Genomic DNA, 17,711 nt, shown 5'->3' on the forward strand with positions numbered 1-17,711 from the left:
TACTTTTAATTGACAATGATTATGTATCCAGGCAAGTTTTCCAGAAAAAGAAAATCCATTCTTTAAACTTTGAAGGCTGTTTCCTTCTTATTTACTGTATTTATTATTTACGGTTAATTATCATGGGTAATTCCTCCTCCTTTATGAGTATGTTTTACTTGAATTTGATGAGCCATCCCAACCCAATATATAGAAATAAATTAGCAACTTCTCTAAATATAAAAAGTCTCATTCAAAGCCAGGAAACTTCAAAACTAAACTAGATAAATGTATATACCCTTAGTAGTTCCCAAAGCATTTCTGAATTATGGTACCTTTCTTAGCACTGATTCCTTACCGTATAAATGCTTATACACGTTTATTTTCCCTTCTATACTATTTAGTCCCTTTAGATCAGAGATAGAAATTATGTATTATTATATCCCTACTGTACTAAATATCTGACACACAATAGGCACTCTCTAAATATCTGAATGACTGAATGCATGAATGGAGAGTGAGCAACTAATAATGACAGCTGTCCTCTATTTAAGACATAATACATCTCAGGCACTGTCTTGGGCAATTTTCATAAACCATCTGATTTATTTCTCATGAGATCATAAGGGAGGCTTTATTATCCCCAATTTGGAGATGAGAAAACAGCTGCTTAGAGAGGTTAAGTTCCTTGGCAAAGGTTACAGATCTTGTAGATGATAGTTTTAATTTTAACTCAGTTGTTTCCTATGTAAAGCTTACACTCTTATTCACTAAGACAGGGGTCAGCAAAGAATGGTCGGCACTGTTTTTGCCTGCCAATATTTTAGCAAAGACAGTTTTCTGGCGACTCGGCCTCACCCATTCATTTACCTATTGTCTATGGCTGTTTTGAGGCTACAACAGAAAAGTTCAGTAGTTGCAACTGAAATAATCTAGCCTGCAAAGCTTAACATATTTATTATATGACTCCTTACAGAAAAAGTGTGTGGGCTGGGCGCGGTGGCTCACGCCTGTAATCCCAGCACTTTGGGAGGTCGAGGCAGGCGGATCACGAGGTCAGGAGTTTGAGACCAGCCTGGCCAATATGGTGAAACCCTGTCTTTACTAAAAATACAAAAATTAGCTGGGCATAGTGGCACGCCCCTGTAGTCCCAGATGCTCTGGAGGCTGAGGCAGGAGAATCGCTTGAACCTGGGAGGTGGAGGTTTCAGTGAACCTAGATCGTGCCACTGCACTCCAGCCTGGGCGACAGAGCAAGAATCTGTCTCAAAAAAAACAAAACAAAACAAAAAAAAGTGTGTGACCCCTGTGGTAGGATATACTGAATAAGCAGACCACAGCAGTCAGAAAAATGGTGAAGGAAAGGCAGGGAAACCTGCGCAAGTGAGAAACTTGTTCTCTACATTTGCTGAACCCACAATTGTTTCCTACTCCCCACCCTAACATAATTGAATTATTGTGGCATTAAAAAGTACCCAGGCAAGGCCTTAGTTTAAATCTAACCAGCCTTACATTAACCTGGTCTGTCTGTGCTGTTGCCTTAGCTCATTTTCTTCTCTGTTTGGTGCTATGACTAACTCATTCCCAATGAAGCCTCTGATATTTCAAGCTGAGAGAAGCTAAGGAGCTGAAACTCTTGTTAAACAATTCATTAGCTTTTCACAGGGCAGAGATAAGGTGATCACATTCTTCAACTCACAACATAAAGTGCAAAAGTATTTCAGACCTAGTGAGCCTTTCTCTTTTTCCTTAATTTTCCCTTATCCTTTTCTCCTAGGTGTTTCTTTCTCCCCTCCCTCCATCTCTCCACTTAATTGTTCACATGTAAACCTTACTGAAGGTCAAGTATATATTGCATTAATTAAATAAAATCCAATGCTCTTTTCTTAATATTCAATCAGGTGTTTAAATACATTACATATAATATATGTTACATAAACAAGATATTTTGTCCAGACAGGAGTCTGGAAATTGATTGCTTTTGTTGGAAAGACTTATGGTCTTTGGATGATGTGTGGGTCTTCCTTCCCATAGCTCTTTTCATCCATGAGTGATGAGTTAATAGTAGATTAAAAGGCTCCCAGGAGAGAATGAATTTGGACTGCACTCCCTTTTGTGTGAGATAGCATTAAAACATTTCTGAGGTTTTTAGATAACCCCAAATAAAGCCAAAAAGGCAGGCAATAGTAACCTCCATGAAAGAGGGATCATGTTGAATTTTTTCACTACTGTACTCTACATTGCCTAGCGTAATATCTAGCATGTAAATATTTGTGGATGAAGGGAAGGTGAGCAGGAAGGAAAGAAGTAGAGAGGATGGAAGACAGGGAAATAAATGGAAGGAAGAACGTGAGAAAGAAAAAAAATCATACTTAGGGCACGATCACTGTATATGGAGTGGGCGGTGTAGGCTGATACTCTGAACCTAGCATCTGTCTGTTGAAGAGGAAGGCTACTGTAGTCACAGCAGACTGGGGCTGATGCTAGAATCCTCTTGGGTCCAAGGACTCAGCTTCAGGAAAGTGGCCCACTTTGTGTATTATCACACCCGGCTCCCAGTGATTCTTGCTGTAACTTGTGTCTTTGTAACAGGACTCTCTGGAAGAGAATATCCTCCTTCACACTTTGATGGACCAAATTTCAGGGGGAGTGGCAGAGCTCTGCACTTGGGACAGAGGTGTCCTCAAGGAATGCACTAGGTTAGCAAGAGAAAGGGCCTTGATTATCTACCATAGCTGTAGACCTGTAAGACTTCAATGGCACCAGGGCTCCATCGGAGGCAGTAAGTGGCCTACCCAAGAGCACCTTCTGAAAAGTCTGGCTTGAAGGAGTATAATGGAGTTGCATCTCTCCAGCACAGTGTCATAGATGTGTAGCAAGACAGACAGGCTCAGGATTAAATGTGACCAAAACTGCAGATTCTAGGGATTATCTGGGTAAGGAAAGCCTGGGTAAAGTCTAGATTTTCTACTAGTTTAGGAGATGGGAGCCCGTACATCTTGTGTTCTGTGTATTTTGTTTGTATTATTTTCTTAGCCACAAGTTGTTGAAGTCTGAAAATATGGACTTTCATGTCATCCTTCATTACCTTCCACAGTGTGATCTCAGAGGCAAGCAATGCACTAGCATCTGGCCTAATGTGTTACTGATGGCAGCGGTGGGCCATCCAGAGCAGCTGTTGCCATTACACCTGCTACAGCAAGGAGGCACAAGTGGTAGCAGCAGGAGAGGCTGCAGGGCAGCAGTGGTGGCCATGGGACCCCTGTGCCCTGCGTCCCCAAGGAAGCTGACTGCACTGCCCCCACCTTCACGCAGCCGGGCAGTACCCACTCCAGGCCCCGGCCCCGCTTGCCACTCTTGACAGCCACTGCTATGGGGAGTTCATGGGGAAGAGGCGAATAGTCCCTAGAGACTTCCCCTGGGGGACCCCCTGGAGCCTACCACCCTGGGGGCCACCATGATGGGGCCGGGCCAAGTTGCCTACAGGCAGGGGAACAATGTGGTTGGGCACAGAGGGGTGACCAGAGAGGGGACTCGAGGCGGAGCCGGGCCTGGGGTGGTACCATGCTTCAGGGAGCCTGCAAGAGCCCTGGACAAGCGGGAGACCCACCCCCTCTGAGTTAGCTGGGTGGGAGCTCCCTGGGTGCAGCTGCAGCTGCTCTGCCCCATCTCTGGACCCAGGCATCTCTGTGTTCCTGGGGGCCCAGGAAGGCCCCTCTGACCCCTGCAGGCTTGGAGGTGCCTGCTTCCACTGCCTGGCTTCTCCCCACTGTCAGTGTATGCTCTGATCTTGGAGTAAGGTTGGGGCCAAGCCTGAGCACTGTTGCAGTTTGGCCAGGGGCATATGCTCAGGGCAGCAGTGACCCACCAACCCCTTGCTGCCTCGGCTCCCTCTAAACTTTGGCTGTGGACAAGCACAGGAGGGAGGCACAAGGGGTGCTGAGGACAGCGGGGTACTGGCCTGCAGGCGCCCCTTGGCATGAACGGTCTGGGTGCGATGAATGGTGACAGGCGGCAGACAGGCTCCTGGGCAGAAGGGGGAAGGTCCTCAGTGATGCCCTACCTTCAAGCTGAGGAGGGCCTGAACCCTGGGGGCTGGGAGCCATTCCCGCATACCAGAAGGTGAACTCGTAGCGCTTTTCCCTGGGCCCTCGTGGGTGCCCATGGACTGATCAACATGCACTTCCTCCCCTCTGAGGCCCATAAAAACCCCCAGACTCAGCCAGACTCAAGCAGAGGACAGACAGATGATGGGGAGATGACCAGATGACAAGCTGCAGAGAGGAGCTGCCCACCCCAGGGTCTCCTCTCTGCTGAAAGTTGAGGAGACAATGGGATGACCAAATGCAGAGAGGAGCTACCCTCTCTGCTGAGAGATGAACACTCACTGGGATGCCCTGGCTACAGAGAGGAGCTGCCCACTGAGAGTCTCTTCTAAGCTGTTCTATTGCTCAGTAAAGCTCCTCTTTGTCTTGCTCACGCTCCACTTGTCTGCATATTTCATTCTTCCTGGACTCAGGACAAGACCTTGGTACCTGCTGAATGGCAAGGCTAAAAGCTGTAATAGAAACAGGGCTGAAACATGCCCCTTGCTTGCCACGTTGTGGGTGAAGAGAAGGAGAGAAAAGCTGTGGCCCTTCAGGGAGCCCAGCTCTGGGAGCTCCCTGAGCCAGGGCAGTGACTCCCTATTTGGGGCCCTGAAGTTCCTGACATCTCCAAGCTTCCAGGAGCTACTGCATTCGCTGGTGCCAGCTGGAGAAGCTGTTTGCAGTCCTCCTGGTCCAGCTGTAGCCTCACAGAGAGCCAGCACCCACACTGGCACCTGGAACTGCCTGCCCCGCAGCAGCAGCAGCCAGTGTGTCTTGCTGTGCACACTGGCCAGACCCCACACTCACTCACACTCACCACTCCACGCCTGACTCACAGTCTCCCTTGGAGGCATAGGATCCAGGCCAGTAGTGTAAGCCAAGTGCACCCTGCCAGGCCAAGTGGACAGAATGAGCCCAGCAGGCCCAGTGAAAATTCAGGCAAAGGTGCCACCAGCCATAGAGGCTTCCAGCCAGAAAAGCGACACCCCACGGATCCTGTAACATTACTATTTCCTTCTATCCAAAGATATGTGAAAAACCAGCCCAGGAATTATTGACCTGTCTTGTCCCTCTCAAGGTGCCTGTCACCCTACAATTCCAGTAGCTTGCGTCTACCAGTTTTTATCTTTTTATAATGCTTTTAAAATATAAAATACAATACATACACAGAAAACTGAATAAAACCAAACCACATGTCTCAGTGAATTATTACAAAACAAGCACTGCGTGACCACCACACAGGTCAGGAGATGCAATACGGTTGGCACATCTGGGGGTCACTCCCCACCACACATGTATGTGCCCCGCTATACCAGCTCCCAACCACAAATCTCTCCTCTTGATAGCCACTCTGACTTTTAAGATAAACTTTGTCTTGATTTTTTAAAATCATTTTCACCTAACAGTGTATTCCTAAACCTTTTAGTTTAGTTTTTGCCTGTTATTTTTCTAACTTTACATAAAAGAAATCACTTTATCTCCACTTGAACTTTATCTGCTAGGCCACTTTTGAGTTTGCTTGTGAGAAGTATCTCCATTGTTATGGTTATCTGTAATTCACTTATTTTCATTGCTGAATAGCATTCCATTGCATGGACACACTATAACTTATGTATCTATTCTAGTATTAATGAATATATGGGTTGTTTCTAGCTTTAGCTATTATGCACATTACTACTACAAATATGCTTTTATTTATGCCTTGTTGTAAATGGATGTGTATTTCCACTAAGTATGTAACCAAGAATGGAATTGGTAGATCATCTGGTATGCCTGTCTTCAAACATAGTAGATATTGCCTATCTGTTTTACAGGGTGGTTTAGGACACTACATGCCTCACAACAGTGTGCAAGAATCCTACAGCTTCAGACTCTTGCCAAGACCTGATATTCTGTTTCCTTTAAATTTAGTCATACTTATAGACAGATGTTGCTATCTTATCTTTAACTTGCATTTCCTAGATTAATAGACCTAGATTTGCATTTCCATATTACTGGACCTAACTTGCATTTCCTAGATTATTAGGACCATTTTAACTTTTCTTCTTTGTATTGGTGAAGTAAGTCCATGTTCAAATCACAAGCTCATTTTTTCTATTGGGTTGTATTTTTAATACTCATTGATTTGTAGGCTTTTTAAAAAAATAGCCATTCTAGACCATATACAAGCATTTCAATCATTATGTATATTGCAAATATCCTATCACATTCTGTGTCTTTGTTTTTCACTGTCTGAATGCCCATAAAATTCTCATATCCAGTAGGAGAAGATACATGTAAATAAAACCTTTGTGCCAGGTTCTCTCATATACGTATGTTCAGGGTATTAAGAAATACAGAGAAGGAGTTGTCAATTAAATGTAGGAGGGATGAGAATTCAAAAAAATGTCATAGATGGGTAAAGTGAATATTGGAAACATGCATTCATATTTTTCAGGAAATTAAAGGAGCAAGGATCTCTATGCAAAAAAGCACTCTGAGTCCTCTGAAGCCCTATTTATGCAGCTGAGTGAGAGAGCAGTACTCTTGACTAGAGAAATTTTTCAAGGGAGGTCGGTGATGAATAGAGCCCTAAGTATAATTAAGGAAAGGTAAAAGAGGTCTCTGGGGTTTAGAGACATAGTTTCGCTTAGAATAAATATTCCCAGTGGTTTATAAAAAGAGTGAACAGAAGTATAGTTGTCTTGGGGTGGAGTAGAGCTGAGCTAGATGGCAATGAGAGTGAGTTTAGGAAGTTGCAGATAGAAGGCAAAAAATACCAGAAGTTTGGCAAGTATTATAGGAAATAGATAACATACCAGCTTTAGAGTCACAGAGATCTTGGTTTAAATTCTGCCCCTCCTTTCCCTATTTTCTCTCTCTCTCTTTCTGACACACACACACACACACACACACACACAGAGACACACAGTGTCTATGGCATGTAATGCAGACTTTTCAAAAAGTGGCTGGGAATGCTTTCTCTCAGTTCCCTGGACAATAAAATAACTCACAATGAGAGCTCTCGCTTTTCCTCTACAAAAAAAAGGTTCACACCTTTTTTGATGGTGTTACAGTGCTTTATTCACCCGCAAAGGAGCAACTGCATCTTTCCATTGGTTCCAAGCTTCCCAGGTTTTGAGCAGCTGGCTTCCTCAGAAAACTCTGGAAAACAGCTGACAATTATACCTGTTATACAAATAGCCTGTCTGCAGAGTCTCTTCTTCTTGCTCTATAAGAACAGAGACCAATCACAGGCAATGTTGCTTTAATGTAATATAAACCCACTATGTATCCAGCAAGGGACTGGCCCTGGCTTACCTCTCTGTGGGAGGCCAAGAGGCTTCAGGAATGTGTGCCTCTCTTGCTGACACCAGCCTATAAATTTCCCCCAATAAAGCCTGTTCCTTAACCAAATGATTCTGTGGAATTTGTCTTGAGCCCTGTGCACAATGGTAACTTGAGACAAGCAACAACCATTCTTAGCCTCGGTATCCTCATCTGTAAAAGAGGAATTATGCCAACAACAATAAGTTATTGTGAAGGCTGAGCAAGATAATATATTTAAAATGTTTTAGCACTGGGCCTATTTTACATGGCTAATAGAAGAAAATGTACTTATGGCTAAAATAATGAAAGCTGAGTAGCCTCAATTTCTCAACTGAATGATAATGTTATGGCGCTGATCTCAAAAAAATCATTCACTAGATAACTGAAGACTGCCAGTAGAGTGTATGTGTGTCAGGGGTGAGAAGGTTGGGATCTAGGGGGTGGCTGGAAAGGATTTTCCAAAAGAGATTTGCGGAATGAGAGGGACTGGCCAGAAGCAGATATACTCTGCCAATTTATCTCATCAACAATTGTAGATTGCATTTTCACTTGTAATAATGACCCAATAGCTATTTTAATTATGTTTATATATACATATACAGTTTATGTATATAACAAATATATAAGCAGAAGCTTCTGCATGACCATGGGTAAAATTGTTCTTATGCTACTGGACTCAGAGAGGCTATATGTTTCTATTACAGTAGTTGGACTGAATAAATACGTTCTGGCGGGGAGGGTCTGTTTTCCTGTGTTTAAGCTGTAAAGTGGGAGATTCTCTATAGAGCAGATTATAAGGAAGTTGGCCCGAGGATGACATAAAAGATAAACTGTGTGTAAATAAAGTAGTCAAAGCAAACTAAGGTTTCCAGGGCTAAACTTCTTGTGTTGGAGCTGGGAATTGCTTCTGATTTTATTCCTACTGCTACTAGTGTCACAGGATCCTTGGAGTGTTGCTTTTCTGGCTGAAAACCTCTGTGGCTGATGGCGCCTTTGCCTGAGTTTTGCTCGGGCCCGCTAGGCTCATTATGCCCACTCGGCCTGGCAGGCTGCGCTCAGCTCGCGCTACTGGCCTGGTTCCCACGCATGCCAAGGGCAAGGCAGGCACGGAGTGGTGAGGGGTATGTGAGCAAGCAAGCGTGGGATCCAGCAACTGTGCACAGCCAGGCACGCTGGCTGTGGCGGGGTGGGCAGCTCCAGGCACCTGCATGGGTGCCACCTCCCTGCAAGGCTGTAGCTGAACCAGGCATACCACAAGCAGTTTCCACGGCTGGCACTGGGGAACGCAGTGGTGCCCAGAAGCTTGAAGACACCAGGAACCGCAGAGCCCCAAGAGTGTGTCACATCCCTGGCTCAGGGAGTTCCTTGGTCTGGGCTCCCCAAAGGGCCGCAGCTCTTCTCTGCTTCTAGTAGACCACAACATGGTGAGCAAGGGGTGTGTTTTGGCCCTGTGTGTGTTACAGCTCTTTCAGCCCCACCATTTGGTGGGTCTCCAGTTCTTGTCCCACATCCAGGAAGAATGAGGTACGCAGACAAGTGAAGGGTGAGCAAGGCAAAGGGTGCTTTACTAAACAACTCAGAGGAGACCTGCAGTGGGTAGCTTTTCTCTGCAGGCAGGGCATCCCATTGTCTGCTCAGCTCTCAGCAAAGAGGAGACCCATAATGTGTAGCTCCTCTCTGACCAAATGATGGTCAGCTCATCATTTGCCTGAGTCGCTTGAATCCAGGGTTTTTATGGGCTTCAGAGGGGAGGTAGTGAATGCTGATTGGTCCATGGGCAGCCATGGGTGGGCCCAGAAAAAGCACGGCAAGTTCTCACTCCTATCTGCAGAACTGGCCTGAAGGCGGGGTTTCACCGGGGAACTGCCCCTTTCCACCCAGGAGCCTGTCTGCCTCCCATTGTCATTAACCTGCCATTTACAGTGCCCATGGCGTCCAGGCTATTCATGCCAAGGGGTGCCTGCAAGCCAACACTGAGCTGCCCTTAGCCCCTTCTTGGCCTCCCTCTCATGCTGGTCAGTGCCCAAAGTCCAGAGGGGGCTAAGGTGGCAGGGGGCTGGTGTGTTAGTGCTGCCCCAAGTGTGCATGCATGCACCTGGCCAGGTTGCGACAGTGCCTGGGCTCAGCCTTAACTTTGCTCTGAAATCAGAGCAGGCACCGGGAGTGGGGAGAGGCCAGGCAGAGGGAGCAGGTACTTCTGATCCTGCAGGGGCAAAGGGGCTTCCCAGGCCCCCAAAAGTGCAGAGATGCCTGAGTCCGCAGCCGCAGCTAGGTCGCTGCAGTGGTGCCTGGGGGAGTGAGGTTCCTGCCCCTCCAACTTGGAAGGGGGCAGGGCTTCCATCTGTTCCTGAGAGGGCTCAGCCCTGGCCACACCTCCCCTACTGCAGCCAGTGTCATGGCAACAGCCACTCCAGACAGGCCGTTGCTGTTATCATTAGAGCTGGCCAGAAGAACCAACACTTTAGTAATGAGTTAAGACAATATTGGAGGAATGAGAGTCTGTTTGGGCCCACCTGAAGGCATAATACTGGGGCCCCCACAAGGATGAAAGTAAGCATGCAAGCAGGAGGGTAAGAGTGGAGCAGATAAACTTCAGTGTTGCCCTTAATTACAAACGTAGCTGGCTGGGTGAAAGAGACACCAACCCCTAAAATACACCTGACAGATCTGCTCACTCAAGGAATTCTACTCAGTGAGAATTTAATCCTGGTAGACTACCTAGATCTTCGGGCCCTTTTAAATGCAAATGACACAAAGAATGACAGAAACCTCATTGTAAACTTACATTTAGGTCTGAGCATGAAGGACTGTATGGAGTTCTTTCTCAATGGCAAGTTTAGGGTAGGATGGAGGGAAGATCAGAGCTTTGGAATTCTGAAGGAGAGGGAAACATGCTGAAAAGAAAGAGAACTGGAGGGGAAAGCCAGGAATAGAAAAGAAAATGTTGCCCATTCACAATGGGAATTAAGCTTTTCCTATAATAAAGACCTTGACACAGAAGTGAGTGGGCTAACGAACTTTCTCCATCCAACAGTTAGTTCTATGTGTATCACTAAAGTTATAAACACATTCTTGAGTACCAGAATTTTAATTTTGATACCACAACCTTTGAAATTCTACTATAATTGGGTCAAACTCTGGAACAGTAGCAGATATGCTGACTTGCTATAGAATGAGAGTGACAAAGAATGATGAGGAAATGCCTGAGGTTGAGTCCCAAAGTACTCTAAGTGTCCCCCACCAAGGACAGTGATGACTAAGGCCCTCTCCATGTCCTTGATGTCAACATTAGATGATGTGTGTTAAAAATGTTGAGAATGGAGGGGACTATCTTCAGGACATGGCATTACTCTCCACATGGAAGGTGTGTTCAATATGCCATCCTGGGAAGATTGAATTCTTGCAGCAGCACATAATGGAAAAATACTACAGCACTAAGCAGTAAACTGAGAATATATCAGAATCCCAAAGACTACATCTAATATTGCTTAACTGTAGAATGTAGTTATACACTGTTCTGACTGGAAAAAAAAATAAAACACTGCAATTTTTTCTCTTCCCTATTGAGGATGAGTTCCTTACTAACTTGGAATTCAGTTAAGGTTTAGTTTAACCAAACTATTCCTTAGGGAGTTGATTCCTATCAAAGGTCAAATCCTGAAAGAGTAAAATAATCACCTTCCAAATATCAATCTTGTAAAACAGAAGGAGGATCAGAAAATTAGTAGGTTATACTTTATGGGCAATTTCTCTTCACAGCTTAATGCTTTGTTTATATAACTATCCTTATTAAATTATTTTAGCAATAAGAATGGTGTTGCCTTCACCCCACTTCACTCTCCAAACCCTCAATAGGAAAAAGTTGGCTGGAAGAGTGAATAACAAACTAATCGCCTCAAACTTCACTAAGATTAACTGGATATGTCACCTCCTCTAAAGATCACAGCAGTCATTCACTGGAATAACAAATGGCAAGACGGGAAACCAAATTGTCAACATGGGTACAAAGAATCTACTAATTTGCTTGAGGTTAGTGGGTAATAGGCAGTGTTATACTAACATTATTATTCCTTTGTGATACATTTCCAACCAAATTTCTTTTATTAGAAATGCTTTTTTCTGATTATGAAAATAATAAATGCTCCTTATGAAAAATCAAAAATATATTTTAAAAATACAAGAAAACAATAATAATTAACAATAAGACTGGCAACCACAGATGATCATTGTAATGAATTAGCATTCTTCTTTCAGTGTTTTGGTGTATATAAGTACAATACATTACAGCATGTAGGTGCTTTGCAGTTTATGTGTATTAGCATGGTCTCATTTTGTTAAATTATTATAAGCAACAATATTAATGCCTGTATTATATTCCAATCTATTGACATTTATATATCCTTTGTTTTCTAACATAAAAAGCTTTTAAAATAGGTACAAATACTTTTTCTAAAAGTTTTACATTACTTCTTAGGGTAAAATTCTTGGAAGTAGTGTTTCTGAACCAAAGAGCAAGAAGAAAATATTTTGCCGAATTATTTTCTAGACAGTTTTCTTTGTTTTATAGTTTGTTTAATCTTTTGCTGGGCATATAAAATAGTAGTCTGATCTCTGTGCCTTCTTATCAATCCAAAATATTTCTTCTCAAAGTATTTTCTATTTCAAAAGATGAAAAATATGTCTCAAGTTATGTTTCATTTATTACATCTAAGTCTTAATCATTTTCATAAATGTATCAGTCAAATGTAGTTTCTTTCATAAATTGTTGGAATATGCCCTTTGTAAATTGCTATTTTAAGATTTTTTAAGATAGGTCATTAGAAATTTGTATGACCATTATAAATATTCAACGTATTAAACGTTTCTCTTATATTTGAGGCAAATATTTCTCCCAACTATGTTTTTCTTATTTATTTATAAGAAAACAAACTAAACTATATATAGTTATATTTATTAACTAAATATAAATAGTTAGGTCTATTTATATTTCCCTATGTGATTCTGACTCAATTCCTCTACATTTAGAAAAATTCCTCCCCCTCTACAGATTAGACATGCACCATCTAAAACATAGTACTTGCTTTTTAATTATTATTGTTAGAATTAAATGAAACTGAAACTTGTTAATGAAATTAGCTAACAAAATTTTCCACTGCTGACCAGATATTATAAAAAACATTGAACCTATCATGTTTAATAGTGCATAGATTTTCCCAAGCTGGATAACTGTGAAATAGAGTGTAACCAATGATTTGAGTGTAACTGTGATTAAACTTTCCAATGTTGGAAGACACTTTTAATGGAAGCTATTATCTATATTTATAGCAGTTTCATTTTTTACTTCAGCTGTTACTTACTCAATTTTTTTCTTCTCTTTTTTGCAATTGATTTGCAAAATATTCCATTAATTGCCTTATAACTGTTATACATATGGAAAATTGTTAGCATGCCTTAAAGTGATCAAGAAAGCTCTTGAGTGTTGAAATATACTAAGTCTTATTTTAGATCTACATTTCTCCTCTGGGTTCTGCTTAGGCAAAACTAGTTACATTTAATGACGCTTTCATGCATTTGCTATTAAATTATATTAGTCTAGGTCAGTCAGAACCTTGAGATACGTTTGTCTCTTGAGGCTCCTTGTCTGGACTAGATGTCCATGCAATTCTTGTTCAGCTCCAAGTCCAGCCAGAGGCATTTAATGTGGCCAACAACAATGGTCTCATGCCTTGATTCTAACATGTATCTGGGGGTCTGAGCTTAAGAATGGAGAAACAGAATGTAAGTGGTCCTGTCAGTTGTTAAACTACTCTTTCCCTGCATCCCCAGTCTTGCCTCATAGATATCCTCGGAATAAAATATCATGATTTTTAAGCATCTCAGTTTGTACTAGGATTGCATTGATGGGTGGCTTTTCCAACAGAGGAGGAATAGAGATGGGAGGGACTGAGATGCCTATATTCGAGAAAAACTATTTCTAGGCAGATAGCCAAATCTTGATCCATCAAAATACTAAATTAGTAATATATTAAAACATTTTTAAAGGGAATTCTGTTATTATTATGAAGAAAATGAGAAAAGAATAATATTCCATACTGATATCTTCTATCATTTGGAAATACCTACTTTCTTCCAAGAACTGTATAATGTACTAGAGACATAAGATTAAAATATATGGTCCCTGTTTCCAAATAGCTCATAGCATGGAGACCAGGCTGACCAGGAAACAGTATCAGCTATGAAACGGAAGTACTGAATTACAAGGAGTAGATGGAATGACTGCCTAGCTGAAACTGTAAACATCAAGAAGAATTCCTGGATAATGTGCCCTATGAATTGAGTTTTACAGGAAGAGAATCTCAGGCAGAAGAAAGCATATTAGAAGGCCCAATGCTGTGAGAAATAACCTATTTACCTCCCTGCAAGTATTTCAGCAAAGGTCTTAATTGGTCAGTGACAATTAAGTAAAATGAAGGGCTTAGGAGGTCCAGATGATTAAGGTTTTTATTCGGCTTGCTAAGGATTTTGGACTTTATGCTAAGCCAATAAAAAGGTATTGAAAGACTTTAAGTAGTCAAGGATGTATGATCAGATTTGCATTTTAGAAAAATTTCTCTGGCCACAATTACGTAAAAAACAGAGAAGGATGGGGCGGGGGACACATTAGCACAAAAGAATAGTTAGAGGACAATTCTTGGCCATTCAGGAAAGAAATGAGGAGGGTCTTAAGTAGAGAGAGTGTTTCTGAAGAAAGATATTAAAGAGCCATAAGAGGCAACATATGATCACTGATTATAAGGTTGGAGAGACAGGGATAAAGAAAAGGGTGAAGGCAACCCAGCTTTCTGGCTTTTACAACCAGGTAAAATGTGATGACGTTCACAGAAGCAGGGAGTAACAGTGTGAAAGAAGGCTTGATTGAAGGTAGAATACAAATAGCTTGAGTTACCTGTGAAATGCACAAGTGGATACACAGGGCTGGGACTAGGGTGAAGTGAGTGATGCATGGAATTGGATGCAAAATTTAAGAAACAAAAACTCTTTGAAAAAATGCATTTTATTTTAAGTCTGGGATACATAAGTAGGATGTGCAGGTTTGTTACACAGGTAAACGTCTGTCATGGTGGTTTGCTGCACCTATCAACCCATCACCTAGGTATTAAGCCCCGCATGTATTAGCTATTTGATATTGATGCTCTCTCTTTCCCTGCCCCCTACTCCTGACAGGCCCCAGTGTGTGTTGTTCCCCTCCCTGTATCCATCTGTTCTCATCGTTCAGCTCCCACTTACAAGTGAGAACATGCGGTCTTTGATTTTCTGTTCCTGTGTTAGTTTGCTGAGGATAATGACGCAGTGGTAACACATGGAAGCCTCCTTTCTTTAAGGAACTATTACTGAGAGAGAGGCAGAAGGTTTAAAGGTTGTGTTTTTATTTATTTATTTTTACTTTTCTCTCATGAAATAAGAAACTGGAACATGTTTATTTGCTGAGGCTAAAAGGAACTGGCAATGGAGAAGGGACGTGGGAAGGAACAAATCAGAGAAGATAGATGCCAAAACAAAGACAGACAGAGGCTGAAGAAAAGGAGGCTCAGATGGGATTATTGTAGACAGTTTACTGAATACAGGCCTTCAAAACTGGGGGGCTTCCACCCAGGAAGTGAAACCATATGACCCAGCAATCCCTCTTCTGGTTATACACCCAAAAGGAAGTGAAATCAGCACCTTGTAGAAATATCCGCACGCCAATGTTCGTTGCAGCACTATTCACAATAGCCAAGATATGAAAGCAACCTAAGTGTCCCTCAAGGGATGAATGGATAAAGAAAATGCATAATATATACAAAAGAGAATACTGTTCAGCCTTTAAAAAAAAAAAGAAAATTCTGCAATTTGTGACAAAATGGACAAACCTGGAAGACATTATGCTAAGTGAAATAAGCCAGGCACAGAAAGACAAATACTGTATGTTCTCACTTATGTGTGGAATTAAAAAAAAAAAAAAAAAGTCAAGCCCATAGAAAAAGATAGTACAACAGTGGTTATCAGGGACAAGGAGGGGATGGGGAATGGAGAAATGCACGTCAATGGGTACAAAGTTGCAGTTACATAAACAACTGAAATAAGTAAGTCTCAAGAGCTAATGTACAGCATGAGGACTACAGCTAATAATTTTGTATTATATACTAGAAACTGGCTAAGACAGCAGATTTTAGGTGCTGTTACCACCAAAAAATAAAAAAGAAGGTAATTACGTGACATGATGGATATGTTAATGTGCTTGACCTTAGTATATTTCACTAAATATATATGTAATATACATTTATCAAAGCATCATGTTGTATGCCTTAAATATACACAATAAAAGAAGGAAAGTAATGCACTTTTATTGCCTGGACAACACATTAACACATCTCCCCATTGTGGGTCATTTTTTTTTCTTTTGAAATGTTTATAACATTTACTCACATCTTTCCATATTTCTGCCCATCCCCAAATTTAAGGAAATTAGTATGCAATACTTATCTGCCTGTAATCCCTTCTCTTTGGGGCATTAATCAGCAGTTACTAATCTGAAGATTTAACAAGGGAAGAACAAAGAAGCATTAAAAACACTATTTGCTGAAAATATAGAAGGGGTGCCTAAGTGTTGCTCACATCTCTTCAACCTTCAGGTGGAAATTATACTCAAGGCTGCAATGGCTGGAACCCCAAGTTCACTGAAATCTGCATCTTGAAGGAATTTTTGCACAAAACAGTTCTTTCATTTCAGAAATAAAATATTTACTAAAAAGTTGAGAAACAATGCAAGCAAATGCAGTAAATATTTGTTCTTCATGGAAGCAAGTTATTCCTTTACATACTCCTATTGTCTCAGTGAAGTTCTGGAGGTTTATACAAATGGAATAGATTGTGGAACTACCCCTGAGAACTACTCTTAAACATGCTACGTATTCAGGATGTCAAATTAAAGGAGTCTCTGAGGCTGCCGCTTCTCTGGTCATCTTTAATTAGACAATACTCTGGTGAAACCCTCACAATTAATATTAAGAGTTGTTCTTCTTCTACAGTAAGTGGAAGGGGAATTATGTAGTGGCTTGTTCTTTGTTATAATTTTATTGAGAGGGTTGTGGAGGAAGGATTGGAATATAATAGAATTGTTCTATTTTCTACCATTTACAGAAAACTAGATGAATCACAAAATTGAAGAAAAAATGATGCTTATCTTTTAAATATGTATTTTATAAATATTTAACTTATATTAAAATTACTTTCCACATATTACAAAATGCTCTAGGCATATCAGTGCATGTGTGCTACTCATTAAATGTTACTATGTCTTTCTACCACAGAGATTTATTTAGGAGGGAGATTGTCATGTTATTTCCTATACCTGGAATGACTCACACTTCTGTGCCTGTTAACATTTTATCCATCTGATACAATCTAGACCGTGAAACCTTTCCTAATCAAGCTATTTTTTCATAAATTTAACAACTGTCATAAATGAATTGTCTGTCATGAATGAATGAAGCAACAAAACAATGAATGACTCAGTGTGGGTTGGTTCTAAGAGTTGCATACCTTCGTAACCCCAATAGAGCTTGTTGGGGTGCCTGGAATATTAACAAGCCAAAAAAATACTTACTTTATTATTAATTATGTAGGCAATGCATAAATTGAAATACATTTATATTTCTCTCAAGAAATTCTCTCTAAATTATATTAGCTTCTGAGGAGAAAGTGTCTTTCTAGCAACCTGGCTTTTAAAACCATCATAGGCACTTTCTCTGTAAAGGTAAATAAACTTTCTTTGGAATGTGGTGAAAGAAGCTGTTAGATAATTTCTGAATGTCTGGTTTTATAATAAGGAGGGTCACTGTCCTCAAAGTTTAGCAATCACTAGACCCTGAGGGACTTTTATCTAATCTTAACCCTGCACCTGACTGCCAGGCAGAGCTAATCACTTAACCTCCCAGTGAATTAATGGGTTCATCTGTAAAACACGATTGCCATCAAAGGCATGAAAGGAAAAGACTAATGATAGACGGAATGAGGTTAGATTTAAAGATTCAACAAAGCCATCAAAATTCACAGCAAAGCCATTTTCCATTATTTCCCTCAATTGTAACTATACTGCTTTTATAAGAAGTGAATTCGACAAAAATAAGTTTATAAGAGTTCTGTTGTGCTAGTTTTTATCTGCTGGACTGATGCAGTATGTAAGAAAATTCTCTTGCTTTCAAAAATGTAAAATTTAAAGCACATTGAAAATTCATGATATTTCATGAGATGCCTAAGGATTTGAGACTCTGACAGACAAAAAAATCCCCTGTG

General features: G+C 41.2%; 1 protein-coding gene across 24 annotated transcripts in view, besides 1 other annotated feature; it reads right to left on the reverse strand.

Annotated features, from left to right (window-relative positions):
* GRM8 (glutamate metabotropic receptor 8) overlaps nucleotides 1–17,711 on the reverse strand; it is an 814,344-nt gene that overhangs the window by 243,204 nt on the left and 553,429 nt on the right. The gene's annotated exons all lie outside the window — the stretch shown is intronic.
* Nucleotides 14,951–15,020: an enhancer, noted in NCBI's record as "active region_26578". NCBI's record gives its function as "activates an Ori minimal core promoter by ATAC-STARR-seq in GM12878 lymphoblastoid cells {active_cell/tissue: GM12878}" and the evidence as "EXISTENCE:reporter gene assay evidence [ECO:0000049][PMID:35858748]".

Source organism: Homo sapiens, chromosome 7 (genome assembly GCF_000001405.40).
Source record: "Homo sapiens chromosome 7, GRCh38.p14 Primary Assembly".
Lineage (NCBI taxonomy): Eukaryota > Metazoa > Chordata > Mammalia > Primates > Hominidae > Homo > Homo sapiens.